Source organism: Homo sapiens, chromosome 4, assembly GCF_000001405.40.
Source record: "Homo sapiens chromosome 4, GRCh38.p14 Primary Assembly".
In the NCBI taxonomy this organism is placed as follows: Eukaryota; Metazoa; Chordata; class Mammalia; order Primates; family Hominidae; genus Homo; species Homo sapiens.
The window spans coordinates 44,435,829-44,457,447 of record NC_000004.12 but is presented as its reverse complement, the minus strand read 5'-3'; the positions used below and the strand labels follow the sequence as shown (position 1 = coordinate 44,457,447).

General features: G+C 37.5%; 1 protein-coding gene across 2 annotated transcripts in view; it reads left to right on the top strand.

Annotated features, from left to right (window-relative positions):
• Nucleotides 1–8,638: 8,638 nt before the first annotated feature.
• KCTD8 (potassium channel tetramerization domain containing 8) overlaps nucleotides 8,639–21,619 on the top strand; it is a 274,907-nt gene continuing 261,926 nt past the window's right edge. For both annotated transcript variants that reach the window (NM_198353.3, XM_011513690.4), the window contains exon 1: nucleotides 8,639–9,885. In NM_198353.3, the coding sequence (NP_938167.1) occupies nucleotides 8,925–9,885 (961 nt within the window). In that variant the 5' untranslated portion in view covers nucleotides 8,639–8,924. The remainder of the gene's footprint in view (nucleotides 9,886–21,619) is intronic.

The following is a 21,619-nucleotide window of genomic DNA, read 5'->3' as shown; positions in this document are numbered from 1 at the left end:
GTAGTGGAACTATATGCATCATATAATGATCAGAGTAGAGAAAATTGTTGAAAAACTGGGTAACAAGTAAATTTTTAAGTGTTCACAGATATATTGGTGTTTACTAGGTCAGTATCTAAAAGATGAAAATAAATGATTCACCAAGGGAGAATTAAGGCTTGTAGATGTTGTAAGGGGTGTTAAAAAATGAGGTAGATGGTAGTTCTGTATTAACTAGAGCAAAGGCAAATTGGCTAAAGCAATTTATTAGAGCAGAATAAATGATCATGATGAAAAAAATGGAAATTCTTATTCAAAATGAAGGAAACACCTGACTGTCCTTCCATGTCTTTGAATATTGGCTTAAGATTTCAGATAGCCATACTCTTGAGTTAGCTGCCTGTGCATGTGTGTGTACCTCTCTGTGTATTTGTGTCCCATACATCACAATTAGGTATGCTAAACCTACAGAATGTGTGCCACAGCAAAATCCTATGGCTCCACTCACAGAACTTTCCCCATGTAAATATTATTGGGGGCATAATGGTGTTTGATTCTTACAGCTTTTGCAGTAGATTGTACTTTCCAACAATGGCCACAATGATATTTTTGGTGCCATATACTCTACTAGAATTTCTCCCTCTCCCTTCAAGTAGCAGCATTTTGTTTCTTCCTCTTAAAACTGGGAAGGCCTTGTGGCTGCCTTGATTAATAGAATAAGATAGAAATGACATTTTGTGATTTTTTGGGTTAGGATATAAATATGATACCCCTTCTGCCTGGCTCTCTCTTCATGAGTTGTAAAATTTTGGAGTCCTAAGTAACCATGGTGGAAAGCCCATGCATACAGACCACACACACACACACACACACACACACACACAGACACACAGACACACACACACACACACACACACACACACACACACACACACACACACACACACACAGAGAGAACCAGTGCCCAAAGAGCCTCAACTGTTCTAGCCCCAATTGTTTGAGTCTTCACAGCTCAGACACCAGATGATTCCATCCCCAGCCTCTGTCTTATTTCAAACTTCGGAGGCCTTGAGCAAGAATCAGCCAGCTGAACCCAGAACCACAAAGATAATGATAAAATTATTGTTGTTTAAGCCACCAAGTTTCGGGGTGCTTTGTTGTGCAACAATATATAACCAGAACAGTATTTCCCAGAAGATATTAGGAAGTATCCATTTGATAAACTAGTAAACTGATCAGAAAAGATACTTGTTCTGGGTCACTAAGTAAATCTGTATCATTGTTAAGGCTGGGATTAAAATTCAGTTTCTGTCTCTTGTTCAGACCTCTGTTTCACTCGAGTTATGATGGGGAAAAACAACTAACACTCATTGGCATGAAACTTTATAACATACAATTTACTCAAAAGCTAGATTTTTAAAAACCTGTTTATCGAGCCTGAATAACATTGTGTGTTATAACAGGTGTTCATTAGCTGAATTTATACCTTACATTAAAGTGCTCTCCTAGATTAAAGCATTGTACTTTAATTGTATTTCTAAAGTTTGATTCAACTGATGTACTTTTTAAAATAGAACCTACAGATATACAAATATCAATATTTTCCTACTTAGCAGTACATAGAAAAATTAAATTGTACCACTAATGCCTGTGAGTTGTCTCATGCTAATTAGCTACAGTGTAGATAAACAATCTGCTCATCATCATTTTAGGCTTTCTGTTTGCAGAGCACTGAACTGAAAATAAAACAACTGGAGAATAGTACTTGTCTTCAATGAATTTCTTATCTAGGTAGAGATAGTGATAATTCAGAACACATACAAGCCAAAGATTTAAAAAAATATTTCTTTGTACAAGCTATATTTATGTGCTGAGAAAACCAAGAATAAAGTGATAGAACTTTTTAAAGAAAAATATAAATATTCAGCACACTACAATGCATGTTTAAAACTCATGTTATAAATTATGCATTTCTAAATATTTAAGCTTTTAATGGTATGGTACTACATTAATTGTATTTGTTGATGAAAACTATTAGCAACCACATAAAATTTGTCATATGAAATCATATGAAAAATACAGATAAACCATATACAATTGTCATTTTTTGAGACTTTTTATGAAAGTGGCTATTTTATATAGTTCAGCCTGACATATCAGTTAGGTAAAGGTACTGTTCTAGCCTCAGACAATTGACCCCTAACAGGGAACTCAATTATTTGACATATATTCAGCGATCCTTTTATAAAATTCCTATGATAAGAGAAGCTATTTGACTTAATAAATATAAACTGTATTTTGTTTTATCAAACTATCAGCATTCCCATCCACATTCTACATTTATAACTTTTCATAGTAGATTACTTAAGGACACATATTTTAAATTTTTGATTGCTTCTCTTTAGATTTAATATATTTTCCAAACATTTTACTAACTGCAGATCTTAAACTGAAGGACTAATTTCTTATATTGAATTCACCCAGTGCTCCCATTAGGGACAAGCATCATAGAAAAAGAGTAATATTATGTTAACACTATTTTATTTCCATAGTAACTTCAGTTAAGGAGTATAAAATGCTCTATAGTCATTATCTAAATAATCCTCTTGACAAACCTAGTAAATAGGTGCTATGATTTGAATGTTTGTGCCCTCCAAAACTCATGTTGAAATTTAATTGCCATTGTAACAGTATTAAGCAGTGGGATCTTTAATAGGTGATTAGGCCATGAGGGATCCACAGTCATGGGTGGGTTTAATGACCTAATAAAGAACTTTCTGGCATGAGCATGCTTCTCTCTCTCTCTCTCTCTCTCCCTCCCTCCCCCTGTCCTCCCCTTCTCTCTTCCCTCTGCCTTCTGGCATGTAATGAAGCAGCAAAAAGACCCTTGCCTAATGCTAGAACCTTGGTCTTGGATTCCCAGCCTCCAGAACTGAGAGAAAATGAATTTTTATTAATTATGAATTACCTAGCCCCATATATTCTGTTATAGCAGTGCAAAGTGGACTAACACAGTAGAACAAGAAGCTAAAAAGTATAGGAAATGAGTGAATTTTAGCTATGATTAGAATTTTTATGATGGAGCCAAACTCATCAGTTAATAATTGCTGGCCAAAATAATAAATGAAAGTTTACAATTTGCAAGTAATTTCTAAGGGAAACTGACTTGCTGTCAGAAATTAATATTTTAAATGTATTGTGTATGTTAAAGTCTTCTTCCAGTCAGTGAAAACTTTTTTTAAATAGCAGTACAAATTTTATAAAATTTATGTCATACATATACCATCACCAGTTTTAGCCTCCTGGTTTATGTTATTTGAAGAGACGTAGAGTCCATCCAGAATCAGAATATCATTCCCATTGTCCAGCCTAATGAAAATTCTTTTCCAGAATGTTCTGAGGTTATGAGGAATTATGTTGCCCTTTCCCCCCAGGCTTTGGGGAGCTAAGCTATATTTTAAGAAGGCAACCAGTTGTGCACAATGAGAGACTAGACCATCTATTGCTAACCACCTTCCCAACATAAACATTCCCCCACCCACAGCATATTAAATTAAATAGCTACTTCTGAAAACATGACTTATATATCATATTAGTTAATATGAAAATAGTTTGCAAATAATTTTGACAAGTACCTGTTGATCAGTTTATGTGCCGGTATTATATTAAATGCTTAGCTATACTGGATCATAATCTATACAAGCTTTCATCAATTTCTTTAGGTATCTAATTTTATAGAGTTTAACCACGTGTTACCCTAAACTTCAGTAGTATTTCTATACAATTTTAAATATAGAATCAGAACTCATATTGAATTATATTAAGATATTGAAGTTGCTGGAATATGTTATTTAATGTGTTCATTAGCATAGATACTCTGAGTTTCCTAAATATCTGATTTGCAAAAGTTTTTCATTTTATAGAACCATTGACACTCTTACAATTAACATATGAGGTTTGGGGGCAATGCATACTCTACTTTCCAACTTTCCCTAGATTCAGCAGCAATTGCTGAATTTGCAGAAGATCTTTCCCATCTTATCTTCAGTCTTATTCCTACAAAGGCTAACTCTGCTTTGTTTGCTCTGATAGGAAGCTCTTTATTTCTAACTTTGCTAAAAGCCATATACCCACAAAATAAACCCTGGCCTGGCCTGCTGTTCACAAGAGTGATACATGCATTATGGGGGTGTGCCTGTTGTGTAAGGAATATCTAAGTTCTTTCGTGATTACTTTCTATTTTCTCCTCCCTCTCTCTCTCTCACTCTCTCTTTTTTTCTGTTTGTTATTTTTGCTTGTTTTTTTTTTGGCCAGAGAGATGTTTTATGGTTCCCATTTCACGTGTTAAATGACTCTACGCAAGTACTGAATTCCAGCCTCCTCTCATTACAATCTTGTAATTAAAAACTTTTAAAAGTTATACTTTCTTACCTAATCCTCAAAACACAGACAAGCTTTAAAGTCACAAATGCTCTAGAGCTATGCTGTTCAGTTTAGAAGCCACTGGGCACATGCGACTATTGAGCATATGAGATATGGCTAGTCCAAGTTATAACTGTTTAGATGTGTCAGAAGAGCTAAATACATACCATATTTTCAAGACTTTGTGTGGAACAAAATGTAAATTATGTCATTAATACATTTTGAAATGAGATTTTGGACATACTGGGCTAAATAAACAATAATATTAAAGTAATTTCATGTTTATTTTTTAATGTGGCTGTAAGAAATTAAAAATGAGATATATGGTTCCTATATTTGTATTAGACAGCACTGCTCTAAAAATTGCAAAGGCTCTGGTACTGGAAAGAATGTCAGGCTTTTTACTTAGAATTACATGAGATACTTGAGGGTTTTTTGTTTGTTTGTGTTTATTATTTATTTATTTTGGTAAAACTTTCAAATGTCCTGAACTAGATTAACAGACACCAGATGGTTTCCTGAAAATTAGAAGCACAGTTGGCCTTGGACAGAAGCAAGCTAAAAGGGGTAATTAGACCATGGTCAAAAGACTGAACAAAGTTAAAAGAAAAAAAAAAAGAACAGGGCCAAGGTAAATTAAATCAACGAAATTATATCAGTGTCTAGGATGATAACATGCAATGAAGGAGACAACAATAGATACAGACAGGGAAGGACATGATGGTATGGGGATGTTCATAATGACAGGGCTGTGTAACCCCAGGCCTTAGGGGTGAGACAACTGGAAGGAAGGTAGGTAGAGCGACTAAAATCAGTTACCTGCTTCTGGATCTTGGATCTATCTAGTCAAGATGTAACTCTGTTCCCATCCCTGAGAACCATACTGTGAAATACACATTATAAATATATTGAACTCCATCAAACTTAGGTGGATTTGTTACAAATCATCATTGATGTGATGAGCTGAGGTCTTTGTTATTTCCATGGTGCCCATGAAGAAACTGAGGTTCGGAGTAACTTGCTGAAATTGCAAAGCTAGTAAGAGACAAAGTTAGATTTTAACCTAGTTCTATTTGATTCTAAATGTCGTTATCATTTGTGTTCTTCCTCCCCTTTAGAAGAAGATACATTTTCTGCCTTTAAGTAACTCTCTACCTGGTGAAGAAATATTTGTTATTATAAATTTTAAATTATTTATGTGTTAAAATCTGGATTCAATATATCCTTTTTGGTTTGTTTGCTGTGCTTTTAGAGACACTCAGGTTTGACCGTGTTATTTTAAAATGTGCTGGGTATGGGAACTGTTCTAGTGTAATTTCTATTCAGAGAAGCTTGCTGCCTTGTCTTTGCGTAGCAACAGAAGATCTTAAAGGACCCACATATGTGATCAAATTGGTCTAAGGAACATTAATGGTGTCTGTGGCTTAGAGCAAAATGGTTCTGATTACGGTATTTGGTGTTGATTGCTCAGTTCACCAAATGGATTGCTTCAATTGTGTCTCTTTCTTGCTTTCTCTTCTCTTTTATTTCTGAGTTTATTTTGATTAGATTCTGGTTCTCACTTTACCTGATTTTAATTGTGAAGAACAGTTCTAACTCAATCCTGCAATCTCATTATTTAGCCTGGTACCCAGCACATAGGTGATGCATTGTCATCTATTTATGATATTAATACAGTTCTATTCAGTGAGCTTTCAACACATATAAATTGGCTATCTCTTTATGGGCTACCTCTATAGCCTACCTCCATGGGGATATAATAGTGCATACGGTCGCATGCCATTTTTACAACGTGGCGGGACACAGTTACACATCAGTGTGATAAACCTTGCCCATGTATAAACATGGGATCTTATGGGAACATCTTAGGAAGACGCTTCACTAGGTTGGGTAAGTGAATGTAAAGATTTCTAGAGAAAGTGATATTTAAACTAAGAGCTGGAGGAAATTGGTAAGCAGGGAGAATGGGTTAGGGATCTGGTGGAAGAGGAAGGGCATTCCTAGCAGAAGGAAGAGGAAAGATAGAAACATTGTAGATCTGCAATTTGTTCAGTCTGAGTTTGGTTGAAGGGTATAACTGGGAGACAGAGGAGAGTAATAGGAGTGTGAAGAGAGAAGAAATTAAGAAAAAATGTTTAATCAAGTTGAAGGAATCATTTTAAAAAGGAATATATCAAACAATACAATTCATTGTGAATTTTTGAGATGATTCATTTAGAGTATAAATTTTTGATCACTTTATCTTATAGACATAATTTATTTAATTCAAAAGTAAAGATGGATTTCAACCTGATATTAGCGACTTCATATTCACATGCATATTTATTATATATCCACTTCATTACAGTTCTACAGTCTGCACCTTACTTATCATTAGGGACACTTACCTTATGATAAATGGGCTTCACTAGTAGTGGTTTGAGGCATTATTATATATTCATCTATGAAGATTATAAAGCATCTATTAATTCATTTATCCAGGAACGATTACTTTAAATCCCGAATATTCTTCTAATGAGGCAGAAAATAGTGTATTTTTTCTGTTATTTTAATACTTGGTTTTAACTTTTAAATGAAGGCTAAATCAATTAAATTAGTTAATTTGATCAATCAGTTTATAAATTTGGCAGGACACAATAGTTTTGAGTAAAAGGATTGCATGATGATGCATACCGAAACCCCCGTTTTAAGTCTCAGTCCTTTGGCAAATATATTCTGTTCTTTCATTGGTCCATTAGGTTCTCTCTGCTTCATATAATGCAACTTCAAAATTGGTATAACATTGTCTATGGATGCAGCTTATAAGGATCAATGATTTAAACATAATTTGTAATGTTCCAAAAATAATGTATTAATTTACAACCGTATCTGAAATTTGATACTTTTTTGGGTGGTTTGAAGAAAAGGAGTTGTTAGTAGGCATTTAACTTTTTAAAAAATATTAAAATCTGTATATCGACTGCTAATGGATAAAGTTCATCTGTAATATTGTTATGATAATTGAAGCAAACTACTTTGTGCCACAATACACCCTTTTCTCTTTTGTACTTCATAAATCAATGATTCTTTATGTTTCTGAACACAGATGTATGCCCCAGGGTAGAAGAAATATTTCTCATTTGCTTTCCTATTTTCAGTCTTTATCACAAGTAATGCTCATTTTGCAGACTGTACCTGTACTATGTACACATGGAAATTAAGGTGAGCTTAAATTCATATAATTTTTATTTGTGACCTTACTCTTGGGGTTAGAAGACTAATAAAAATATCAGCCACTTCTCTTGTTTGATGGAGCTGAAAGGGAAATGGAGAGATTAATGAGACTGATCAGGATTAGAAAGAATGAACAAATCGAGTAAATTTCCTCTCGGGCTCCGTCTCTCCCTCTATAAACATTTATTAAGCATCTAATTTAAAACTAAAAATTGTAAAAATGTCGGAAGGAAACAGTTGTTACATACACTCCTTTATTATTGTGAACTGAAAGCAGATTACAAAGTTTTAAAAATTATTCAAGGATATTCAGTGCACGCAGTCGTGAAATTTGATTCCAAGAGAGGTACGCGCATTTAGCCCTTCACTTAAACTGTATCATAAAGCCACTACAAGAGATGTACCTTCCCACCCTCACGTAATCTTTTTGCAATCACTGCTGGCAAGCCAACATTTGTGGTGATTTCAGATTAGGAGCCTGGCATCTTTGCTATAATCAAAACCTTATTCTCCCCTCTCCGCTCCTCCACTCCTTACCTTAATGAAAGTGCAAAAAACTAGTTTTACTGGGGAGGGAGGCAAGGAAGGAAGGAAGAGAAGAAGGAAAGGAGGGAGGAAAGGGGGTGGCACAGACCCAAGGAGGGAGTGAAATGAAGGAATGAGAGCGCTGTCCCTTTTTCTCGCTTTTGCTTTAGGAGCTCCCTGCCTGCCTGTCCCCGCGGGTCGGGGAGCTGCACCTCTTGCAGGCTCGGCTCTCGGCCCCGCCCCCTAGCGTCGGAGCCCGGGAGCCGCGGCTGCAGCCTATCTCTTTAAATGACAGCTGAGGCTCGGGTCCCAGTCCGGGGCTTGACGTCAGTGCCTCCTCCCGTGCTGCCAGGAGTAGTTAGCGCCACCGTCGGCGCTCCGGCCTCGCGGCACGCTTGCAAGCTGCCGGGGCGGCGAGTTTTCTTTGCTTCGGCCCCTCCTCCCGCCCTCCCCACGGAGAGCCGAGCAGCAGCCCTAGAGCCTCTCGCAAGTCTCTCTCACACTTCCCCGCCCTCGCCCCAAAGGAGCAGCAGCTCCTTCTTGCCTCTCCATTGCCGCCGCCGCACCGGCGGAGCTCCTCTCTCGCGCGTCTCTCCTCCGATGGAGCTCGGGCGCCGCCGACGCCGCCGCTGCCCCGAACCCTGAGCGGGGCCGCCCCGGTCGGAGGAACGCGCCGCCCAGTCCGAGGGCGCAGAGCGCCAGGAGCACGCGGAGGGCTGGGGCGCGGGCTCCGGGAACGAGAAAGTGCAGCTCTCTCGGGTCACTGGGCCGGCGGCGGGGGGACTATGGCTCTGAAGGACACGGGCAGCGGCGGCAGCACCATCCTGCCCATTAGCGAGATGGTTTCCTCGTCCAGCTCGCCCGGCGCGTCGGCCGCCGCCGCCCCGGGGCCCTGCGCACCCTCGCCCTTCCCTGAAGTAGTGGAGCTGAACGTAGGCGGCCAGGTTTATGTGACCAAGCACTCGACGCTGCTCAGCGTCCCGGACAGTACTTTGGCCAGCATGTTCTCGCCCTCTAGTCCCCGTGGCGGCGCCCGGCGCCGGGGCGAGCTGCCCAGGGACAGCCGGGCGCGCTTCTTCATCGACCGGGACGGCTTCCTTTTCAGGTACGTGCTGGATTATCTGCGGGACAAGCAACTCGCGCTGCCGGAGCACTTCCCCGAGAAGGAGCGGCTGCTGCGCGAGGCCGAGTATTTCCAGCTCACCGACTTGGTCAAGCTGCTGTCGCCCAAGGTCACCAAGCAGAACTCTCTCAACGACGAGGGCTGCCAGAGCGACCTGGAGGACAACGTCTCGCAGGGTAGCAGCGACGCGCTGCTGCTGCGCGGGGCGGCGGCCGCCGTGCCCTCGGGCCCGGGAGCGCACGGTGGTGGCGGCGGCGGCGGCGCGCAGGACAAGCGCTCGGGCTTCCTCACGCTGGGCTACCGGGGCTCCTACACCACCGTGCGCGACAACCAGGCCGACGCCAAATTCCGGCGTGTGGCGCGCATCATGGTGTGCGGGCGCATCGCGCTGGCCAAGGAGGTCTTCGGGGACACGCTCAACGAGAGCCGCGACCCCGACCGGCAGCCGGAGAAGTACACGTCCCGCTTCTACCTCAAGTTCACCTACTTGGAGCAGGCCTTTGATCGCCTGTCCGAGGCCGGCTTCCACATGGTGGCGTGTAACTCCTCGGGCACCGCCGCCTTCGTCAACCAGTACCGCGACGACAAGATCTGGAGCAGCTACACCGAGTACATTTTCTTCCGTAAGTTCGCAGCCCCGGCGTTTCCCAGCACCCCTCGCCCCCTGCTGAGCCGCCGCCAGTTTGAGCCCCGCTGGAGGCCCCGCGGGGGTGTCCGGGGCAGGCGCTGGTTAACTCCTTATAGAGAGCGGCTCTCCCTGCACGATTCCCTTATGCAGTAGACACGATTTACATTTCACCGATTCGGATATTTCCGTCTCTACTCCCCCTTTCTAGAACTCAGTAGCACCCAGCTCCCAGCTGTCTACTTGCTGAACTTTATTGATCTTGCCTTCTCGGCCCAGCCCGCTCCCAGATGCCAGGGTCTCCTCGGTTGCGGAGGACAGGGTGGGAGAGACTGGGGCACAGGGCAGGGTGCATAGACCCTCCTCCACCCCTTTGCTTTTGCAGGACTGCTGGGGGTCATTTCATGTGGCCCTCAGTGGTGTCCCTGCAGAGGGCAGGATGCCATAACAAGGCATCGCCTCGCACCACCTGGATCACCTGCTGTTGGTGCAGCTGCCGCGCGGGAGCCTCCAGTTACGGGTGGTTTTCTAGAGGGCAGGGGAGAAGCGATAAAGGTGCCCCCAGAGCCCCTCGAGGGGGCGGGGGCATGAGAGCGGGTGTGGGGAAAGGGGACTCCTTGACAGATGGAAACCCAGATTTCCCTGCGTCTGTTATCTCCAGTCTAATTGCCCAGTGTTTGGGACAGGGGAGGGTGGAAGGAATTAGAAAGTTTGCATGTCTGAGTGCTGCTCTTAGGGTTGGAGATTAGGAGGGGCAAGGGAGGAGGGAGGGAAGGTGTTGGGGAGGGAGGGGAAGAGAAAGAGAGAATGATTGTGTTTCCTTCTCCAGCGCGAAAGCGGGGGTTGAGTCCACTTTCTCAGGGTGAATAAATAGAGCGATTTTCTGAAATGAGAGAATGAAGGAATAGATTTGGGAAAGCATCTGGGGTGCGTTTTGCAGTGCGCTTCCGGAGCGGGCTATGTGGAGTTCAAGAACTATACCAAATACCATAATCTGAACCTGGGGATTGGGAGTGGGATTGGGAGTGGGGTGGGGCTGTGGTGGGCACAATTCTCAGTGGCGTTTATGAAGTGAAAAGACAACGACTAGAGAGCGATTTGGACAAACGAAAAGCCAGCTGGGATGGCAGCAGGAACATTATTTGGCAAAGGTTTTTCCTTTGGCCAGACACAAGTTAAAACTTGCCTGTAGCATAGGGAGAATAGCCTTGAAATCCTGTGATGGAAATAGACCAGCTTAAATTGAATTTATTTATTTTGGTAATTTAGTCACTACAGTAATTGGGAACTGAACAATTTTCTGGACTTTATTTTGACTGGAGAAATGGAAGGGAACTCTCCTTGCACAGGTGCAAGCTTAACTGGAAGGTTGGCTTAGTGTTTGTATATTCTGGTAACCTTGGAAGTTGGGTGACAAACCACAGCACACAGGTTCTCAGAGTTAGACTACTTTTTAAAGTAATGCTGGATTTCTTGAGACAACGGTTTCAACAGAGAAGCAAATGAAGTGTCTGTCCACTGAATTGGAAGCTAAAAAACTGTCTTAATTATATCAAAGTATTACTTGTTACACAATAAAAAGATTAATGGTCAGAAAAGCCACCCAAGGGAAGATATTTTATTGCTTGTATAAAATTGACATCTCTTAAATATATATTGAGTAATTAAGTATTTTAGCACCATTTTATTTCTTATCATTGTGACCTTTGTCAACAACTTTTTAGATTTTAAACCATTTAAGTCATTTCAATGTAGATTTCCAAACATTTCAGAAGATAAGGTAAAATGAACTTTTGCCTTTCTTGTAGTTAGTGTTTTTTGTTAGAGAAGATACAAGCATGAATGTTCTGCACAGTTTTCTGAAATTTTGAAAATCTTACTTGGTTTTGGTTTTTCTTATTCCTCTAGAAAGATGTGGACATGAAAATGATCATTACTTTGATTATGAAGAGATAATACAGGTTATCTCTACATTAGGAAAAAAGTGCCCTTAGTATATTGAAACTGGAAACTTAGTTAATTTAGCTAATGGGATAAATTTGAGAGATATTTGAAATTCAGGATGTTTCACTTCTAGAGCTACAGAAGTGTTAAATATTCATATTATGAATAACTACTTTCAGAGTACTCATATTATTAATGACCTCTGAAATTCATTCATAAAAAGTCCCAGAAATCTAAGGAGGCAACCTATTTTGGGAGAAAATATGCAATTCCAGATTAAATATTGTTCTTTTGAAGTGGTAAGCTAGTCGTTGATCAACCAGGTGGAGTTGTCATTTTAAATGTTGGATGTAAAATTTGTCTTGAGTACTAGAATACATATATTTATTTTATTTTTTACAGCTTTCATTATATTTTTACACATTATTTTGAATGGGATTCATTTTAATATTTGGTGAATGAAAACACACTGTAAAATGTATTTCCATCGTATTCAGTTTAGTTGATGACCAAATGTGTTTATCTTATTTGGCAAGTTTCTATTTAAAAAGATTATCGGTGTTACTCATAAGAGCAAAGTTACTGGGTGACCTTGTTTGTCCACTTATGTTTTAGATGCAGAAAATAACCTTAATAGCTTTTATTTCCCCCTTTGACACCCTTTTTTTCAGCAAATATTTATTTGTTGTGTGACATTTATTTAGTGTATAACAAGTATCAGTCACTTTAACACCTTTTAAAATCCAGGTGACATGTGAACTTAGTAGTTGAAACTGTTGTAGTTTACACACTTGAGCATCAATGTTATTCCCCCCCAACCCCCGTCACCCCCACCACACCTGAGTTTCTGCAGTAGAGGGGAAGAAAGTGGCAAATGGTTCAGTAATCCCAGATACTGTTATTTTCCAACTGTGTGATCTTGGTTAAATTATTTACTTGTTCTCTGTCTTGGTTTCCTCACCTGTATTACAGGAGTTATCACAGTATCAGTTTTATAGGATTTGAGAATATACATGTAGTGCTTAGATTAGTGCCTGACTCATAATAAAAGCTTAACAAATGTTAGCTGTTAACTATTGTAATATGTTACTGTTTTTATTGTTCTCGTCAACATTAAATTTTAATTTTGTTTTATAGTAAGTATAATTAATTTAATTGTAAAGTTAATGGAAAAATTATTTTGCAATTAAATGATAGCATACTATACTTTCAGAATTATGAAATAACCAATTAAATAACTAATTTCTTTCTTTGAATTTGAATTTGAATTTTTCAGGCCAAGTCACCAAAGGTTGCTAATCATATTCCAATTGGTTTTTCTGGATTGACTCCAACAGAACCCATTTCCGATTCAGGGCCAAGAAGTGTTTTAGCACTAGGACTTGAAACTTTGGCAATATATTCTGATAAATATTGAGCTAGATTCATATCTCCTTAAGTGCTTGTATCCAAGTCACTGGGTTTTTATGCTCAAGGTTATATACAGGCTATTAAACTTTAATATCAGCTTTATTTGGCTACATGAACCCTTATATCTGTTCTCAGTCTTAACTCATTGTTTATCAAGTGTTTTTAGTACACTGCAACATATACTGGTACTATTAAATTCTATATTATTCTTCTAATACTGAAGATGGATTGTCCTTTCTTGGGGGAAAAACAGTGATTTATTGTGCTTTCTGTTTTTAAGAGATGTCTGCTGAGTGTCATTGTGGCTGCCTTTAGCAATATCTGGGAGACAAAAAAAGACATTTTATGTTGGCAATGAATTATATAGAATATAGATAACATGCCTGGAATGTGACAAGTTGATTATCATTAGATAAAAACTACCTTTTTATGTTTTCTTTCTCATAATCAGTGAGTTTGCAGAAAAGATAGTGCTGATGTATTGCTCTTCTAACAGTGCTTCAAGTTTTGAACTCCATATTTTGGTTGAGCAGTATGTGTGTGAATGTACACCTTTCTCTAGGTTGTACTTGATATTCTTTAAATTTGGTATATCTTTTTTTGTTTGTTTGTTTGATACATGAAAATGCCAGATCTAGGAATTAATGCTGTTACTGAACTGGGCTGGGAAATGTAATTTGTCTTAATGAATTTTTATATCCACTCTTTCAAATTCATTCTGATTTATTTCACTGTGTTGAGTTGAAGAAAACTAGTTGAGTTGAAAATATTCAAACAGCTATTCAATCCTGGGCTAGCATGCTTGCTGAATTTAAGAGCTTTCTAAGACACATCTTTAAAAATCATTCTGTTTAGGTGAATACCATTAAAATTGCATCTTTTATGAGCCTAAAAATACTTCTTTGATTACCAAACATCATTTTATGGAAGTTAATTTTGTTAACCACAATTTTAAAAGTTGATTATTTTTCTCCCGAGTTACTACTTATTTTTACAATTACAATGTGAAAATTTTCTCTGCAGCCACATGGCTGAATGACTTTTGAATTAGTGAGGAATAAGCAAAAGCAGAGGATAACTTTTTAAAACATCAAGATTCTGATTTAATGTAGCTAGTTCCAGTAATAAAGCAGACAAAATGACAAAAATCTTGGAGTGCAAAAAGTTTAGAGGCTGTGCTATGACACCGATTGTTGTTTAATGGCATTGAACTTTTATATCTGGCATAATTCTGTCTTTGAACTTATATTTTTTTGTATTGCTATGGCTTTGGCTTTCCCTGCCACCTTTTTCAGCTTTGTGTGGGTCAATCTTTATGCAGGTAATGAAGCTGAAAAACTGAGTGGCTACAAGCTTTATTTGACAAGGTTCTTTCTCTTGTAGCTTAGGATGCTAGGACTTGCAATTTGTGTGTGTGTGTGTGTGTGTGTGTATACCTTAGTTAAGAAAAAGCCTCTTTGGAAAAAAGAAATATGTATAAAACCAGTATTTAATTATTATCTATTTGACTGTCATAAATTATTAGCTGGAATTTGTTTAAAAATGTGAAAATGATTGTCTGCTTGTCATTTAAAAGTCACCCTTTTTATAGTTAATAAGTTTTTAAATTTTTTATTTTTTTGAGACAGAGTTTTGCTCTGTCACCCAGGCTGGAGTGCAGTGGTGTGACTCGGCTCACTGCAACCTCCGCCTCCCAGGTTCAAGTCATTCTCCTGCCTCGGCCTCCCGAGTAGCTGGGATTACAGGCACCTGCCACCACGCCCAGCTAATTTTTGTATTTTTAGTAGAGATGGGGTTTCACCGTGTTGGACAGGCTGGTCTTGAACTCCTGACCTCAGGTGATCCACCTGCCTAGGACTCCCAAAGTGCTGGGATTACAGGCGTGAGCTGCCATACCTGTCCATAATTTTATATATAGTTAATTGATAATCTATATCTTTAAATGTTCTCATTACAAAAAATAAGATTAAATAACTCTTTAAAATCATAAAAGTAGTACATTTAGTTTTAGGGACTTTTGTTAAAAAAAAAAGTGCAGTTTTAATCAGCACCACTAGTAAGTGCCAATAAAATCTTAATTCATTTCCTTCCAGTCTTTTTTCTGTGTACACATAGATAAAAAGACATATTTTTAAAAAGTCATGGTCATACTATATAGCTGGTTTATATGCTATCTTTTTTTGGTTTATTTGGTTTTATACATTTAATAAGTTTACACATTTAATGAAATTTCCCCCATGACATTAACATTTTTATTGACATCTTAAATAACAAAAGTACAATACATATACATTGCCACAGTTTTATAAATATTGGTATCGAATATTTTGTTTGTAAGCCCAGAAAAAAATTTGATTATTTCAAGGTACAGAATCTGTTAAAAAATTTACTATCACATTTATTGTCACCTAATTTTATGCTAAGTGTTTTGCATACATTACTTTGTTTATTTCTTATAACATTCCTTGAGCTTGACATTAGTTCCCTAATAGTTCAATTAGAACACTATGATTTAGGACATTAAGTAACATCCCTGGTTCATAGAGCTTGTATAGGGCTGAGCTGGGATTTGAATAGTTCTGTCTTATTTCAAAGCCCTTACTCTTAAAACGTTGAAAAATAATGCCTGTTTCTGGCAGTCAATTTGGCAAATATATTTCAGTGTCTACTGAGTACTTAGAACTTCTGTTTATAAGCAAAAAAGTGTGGTCTGAAACGTATATGAGTGAACTCAAAATTTTAAAATTTATGTTAAATTTCCATAGAAATATAGTAAATATATACTTTATGTCTTGCTGGAAGGGTTATTTTATGGATTAATGCTATCGTATTCATGAATATTTTTATAGTTAAAGAAAATAAAGCATTTGAGTCCATTTAACACTTTTGAGGGTAACCAAGTTATAGGTTTGATAAAACAGTAATACCTGTAGGCTCGATAAACTGACTTAAAGTGTATTTTTTTTTTAGTAGTAGTATGAGTCTGCACCACCAGAGGTTTTGCAAGGACTTACCTAAAGATCAGAATAATTTTATTTACAAGATTTCAAAGTCATTCCAACAAGTAAATTAGCTACTTTATAATTTGTAAGTATAATGGAAAATATAGGTGTCATCTGCCTATCAGCCATATATGTCTCATTATTAGTTTCTATTAATGATACCAGTTTCTGATTAGTGTCTGATTGTCATACAAATTTAGTTGTATTTTGCTTTTTTAAAAAAGTGAAAATATATGAAGTATTCTGTGCTGAGTGTATATCATTTATAAGTTTATTCCCTGACCCATTGGCTTTTCAGGGTACCTCTTGGCATCATAGTCATGTAATGCTAAGTGAACCCCTGCTGTAGAATCCTTCACACTTCTCTGTCTTTTCTGTGTGCACTAGGATAGGTCCCTCATTGTGTTTCCTACAATTTGTAATGATCTTTTCGCATGTTGATCTTCTACAGTAGGTTTCTGTCTCTGTGCCTGAAAGTGGTATTCTCAGCCCCTCAGGGCAGAGGCTAAGGCCACATTAAGAACTTAAAAAATATTTGTTTTCTGAATGAAAGTGTGAATTAAGGAATGAACTAGAGATGTTGGAATTTCCATTAGGTTGTTACTGAATTTGAGGTTTAGTTTCACTTCAAGATAAAGTGCATTTATTGAACAACCTACCAGGCTAAAGCGTGGGTAAGACATACACATATGAATAAGACAGAGACCTTGTATTTAAGGTGATCACAATAAACTTTATATAATTGTGAATTATGTTATAGAGAGGTTACTTAGTATTTTAAAAAGAGGGCAAAAAGCAGGAGTAATGACATGAGAAGTTGTTACATAAGCACCTATATGAAATGAAAATAAGTAAAATGTTAACTAAAATATGGAACAGATTAAAATAATGTTATAAATGAAGTTGTTAGATTTGGAAACACACACATAAAGGTGCACACACACACTTCTTTATATTTAAATTATTGGTGGAAGCTGGGTGCGGTGGCTCACGCCTGTAATCCAAGCACTTTGGGAGGCTGAGGTGGGTGGATCACCTGAGGTCAGGAGTTCAAGACCAGCCTGGCCAACATGGCAAAATCCCATCTCTACTAAAAATACAAAAAATTAGCTGGGCGTGGTGGCGGGCATCTGTAATCCCAGCTACTTGGGAGGCTGAGGCAGGAGAATTGCTTGAACCCAGGAGGCAGAGGTTGCAATGAGCCGAGATCCCACCGTTGCACTCCAGCCTGGGAAACAGAGTGAGACTCTGTCAAAAACATAAATAAATAAATAAATAAATAAATAAATAAATAAATAAATAAAAATAAATGATTGGTGGACTAGAAGTTGTAAGGGATCAAAAATTAACTGACTTCATTAATTTAGAGTGTTGGGCAAATATTCCATACCCCAACATACCATAGGTAGTGTTAAGTACTTGCTTTAAAAAAATCTTAGATGCAAAGAGAATATTGCCTCCTGACATAGGCTTTATTATGTAAATTAAATGTAGGAAGTATCTGATAATACTGATAAGGTATCTGTAAAAGTAAGGATCTGGTTAATTCTATCTTACAATCTTGATTCATTTTTTAAAAGGCATCTTAAAATATACTTAACAGGTATTACTGTTTAATAATATTACAATATTGGTTTTACTTATATTTCTTAACCTTGTGTCAAAGTAGTTAATAAAAATAAACCAACTTTGCTGGTAATAACAACAGACAGCTTCATGATTCCTAACTGGACACTTAACTAGTTCTGTGCTTATTCAACATTAAACTTAGTTAAATGTATGTTCAAAAGTTAACTTGGAATATTATTTCTACCATATTGTAACCAGTCTCTCATTAAACCCTGCTTTTATCGGGGAAAAAAGCAAATAAAATGGAAGAAACTAATATAATAAAGAAATATGTAGTATTGACTTAATATCACCAGAATAGTGAATGATTTAACCACTCAGTTTTGTTATTTTGGTTGATTTCACCAGTTACAATATCAAAAATCTTGAGAATAGGATTCATATTATATTGCTCTTTCTCATCATTTGGCATAATTAGGTGTGCTTTCTAATTTTTGGTATAAGTAAAATAGGGAGAGTAGTACTGTGTTTATGGAGTGACAATGCCAGAATCTGTTGGCCTCTACTCCTAAGAGGTGAATACTTGAACACAATGAATGTTTTAATACTTCTAAATCAGATACCTTGAAAAATTCTGGCTGTAGCTTTAAGATCTTGGGAAAATAATTTCATGCTCCCTCCTGAAGGGAAAGTGAGAGAAACAATTGTATTCACTTTAAAGCTTTGTTATGAGGATCAAATAAAGCAGTCCACAGTTAGAATGGTATCAGGCACAGATGGTATCAGGGACACAATTAAAAGCTCAACACATGTTAGCTTTTGCCACTTACTAATTTAAGGGCCTCACAATAATGCATAGGCAATCCCATTTCTTTACAATAATTCTCAGTACCAGATTTCTTCTCTTTTTCTTTTTAAGGAAGTTGAAAGCAACTCCTATCTAAAAGCTGCCCTGAAAAGGTCCTGTTATCATTAATGAGTTCTTACTTTTTAAAATTATTGACCTGCTAAGTATAAAATAAATTGTAATGTATTTTTAAAATAAGTCTATTCTGGTTGGTTTTTCATTGATTAGGTGGAAAAATGTACTCTTCCAGGTCCAGTGCTGGTCACTGGTTAATTATGACACAATTAAAAATAATACTTATAGTCAATGGAAATTGTCTCAAACTCTGGGGCAAGGCACTTCTTAATCATAATCTTTATTTATATTTCTGATGAGGGCTTTTAGTTTGCAGTTTCAACAGTTTTATGCAAAATGACAAATTGTCACAGAGCCAGATGGGCTCAAATACTGCCCAGAGTCTAGGCATTTGGCCAAAATTTCAGGCTAGATTTTGGATTCAAATACATATCTTCACAATTTTAAGAAAACTATGTTAGCTGTCAATCAGCTCTAATTGAAACCACTCTGACATATCTTCAATATAAGTTTTCTAGTTGCTCAAAGTCCAGGTATTTGAAGAAACCAGAGAGATCTGAGGCAGATGCTGGCAGACATTCAGAAATAATTCTCCAATATTCTGATCTCTTTTCTTCTGGTTGGTGAGTCTGCACCTAGCATGTCTCCTTGTAAGGATTCATACATATGATTCCAAAGTGACTTTTGCTTTTGATAAGAAAAGTTGCTACAGTGGCAGCTTTATAGTGAGTGGTGGGAGGTAGCAGGTGTGGTGGTCGCAAATTATTGGTATCATTTATATGGTGGTTTTGGGGATGAATCCTTCTAATGGTGATTCTCGTTTAGAGTAAAAGAGAAAGAGATTTAGAATCAAAGTCTTTGGGCTATATTCTTAACCTTCATCACTGTGTAGATTTGTTTTATTTTGTGGTTCTTTACTTTTCTATAGCTCAGTTCTTTAGGGAGAAAATGGTAGAAATTGATCGTCTTTTTCACCTTATCTCCATGTAGTGCCATAAGTATTGTGTGCCAAGTAATCTGTGCTAAATAAAAATAGAGTATTTGTCCTTACTTTAGGGTGTCAGGCTGTCATTTCTGTTAAAAATGTGTTGAGTATATTGCTATTAATAAAACATTTACTGAGGTGAAACACCTTTTCATGCTCTATTTCATTTAACGATTTTCAAAAAAAATCAGAAACATAAAAACTATCAAACTGAGGGAAATCCAGATTAGATTAATTTTAAGGTACTGAATCATATCTCTTCTTCAGTTCATTTATATTTATTCATGCATTCATTAACCGATATTATAAACTAAGCAGCCTCTTAGATATTGAAGGTGTGGTAGTAAACAGTAGTGAACATATTTCCTACCTTTCATGACTGGGACGATGACATTTGTAAGATATGTGCATTGCCTGACTTTAGACTGCACATGGTAGGTGAATGACATGCCTAATAGATACATAAGATACAAGTTGTGAGGCTCCTGTGAGTGCTCCTTGGCCACTTCTTGAGGCACATTGGGCAGTGTATACTCTCCTTGCCTCTGCAGACATACACAGCTCATTTTCCAACTTGCAGGTATGGGACTTGTGAGTTGCTTTAAGGGTTAAATAACCCAGGCTATTTATGGCCAATCTTGAAGTTTCTTTGGTTAAAAAAAAAAAAAAACTTTCAAAATCATTGTGCACTTCTGGACAGTTTCATGAGTGAATTAAGGGAAACAAAAATCTAGAGTAATGTAATATTTAGGGTTGAAGGCTCTTTATTTTATGGCCTCTGTGAATTATTCATTTTATCCTCTTAAATTAATGGTTTTGGAGGAAGGTGCCAGCATTGTCAGCAGAGCAGTGGCCTTTGTGTGAAAGAGCACCAGTCGTACCTTTTGCTAAGGCTGCAGTTTTGTAGTCTTTGCTTAGATGTTATTGTCATTTTTTTTAAAGTTTCTAGTATGAAAATTTAAACATCAAGGAAAAAGAATTGTTTATTAAAAACTCCCACATATACACCTCCTAATTTCAACAATAACCAAAGCATCACTTCATGTCTGTTTCTTTTTTGCTGAAGAACTTTAAAGCAAACCCCAAATATTATTTCACCCCTACATACTTTAGTATCTAAAAATGCATATTTAAAAACATAACCACTATTCCATTATCAACCCTAACAAGATAAATAATATTTCTTGTCAATATCTGATACATCATTCATAATCATATTTCTAAGTTTGTCTCAAAAATATAGCCTTTTTAAAAATAAAGCTCAGGACTATAAATCTTATTTTTATGTCTTTTTTTCTGTTAATATAAGATAGTCTCTCTTCTTTGACTCTCACTCCATCCATCTCTGTTTCTCTTTACATGTAATGCCATCAATTTGTTTACAGAAGGAGGTCTTGTTGAGCTGATTAATGTCCCCTGTTCTGAATATATGGCTGCTTGCTTTCTTGTAGTATCATTTAAATTGTTCTTCTGTACCAATATTTTGTGTAAGTGGACATTGACTCGACCATGACTATATTCAACTTCTTTTGTTTTTAGGCAAGACTCTTTTGTTTTTAGGCAAGACTATTTATAGGTGATTCTGTGCCAATTTGCCCCACTAATCAGTTGATGTGAGTGGTGTCAGTCAAATCCCTCCATTGTAACTTCGCATCAAACATTTATTTGATAGTTGTATGATTGAATACAATTGCCTGATTCAAGTATTACCATAAGGGATACAAAACTGTGGTTTTCTAATTTGTGTTTTCCATATTTATTAGCTGGAAGAACTTTCCCTGAAGAACTGCTTAAAATATTGTTCACAGAGGAAAGGCAGGGCAAATGCTTAAGTATTTCTTATTCATAGCCAGTTTTCACAGTGGGAGGACAACCGATCACCTATAGAAGCCCATCTCAA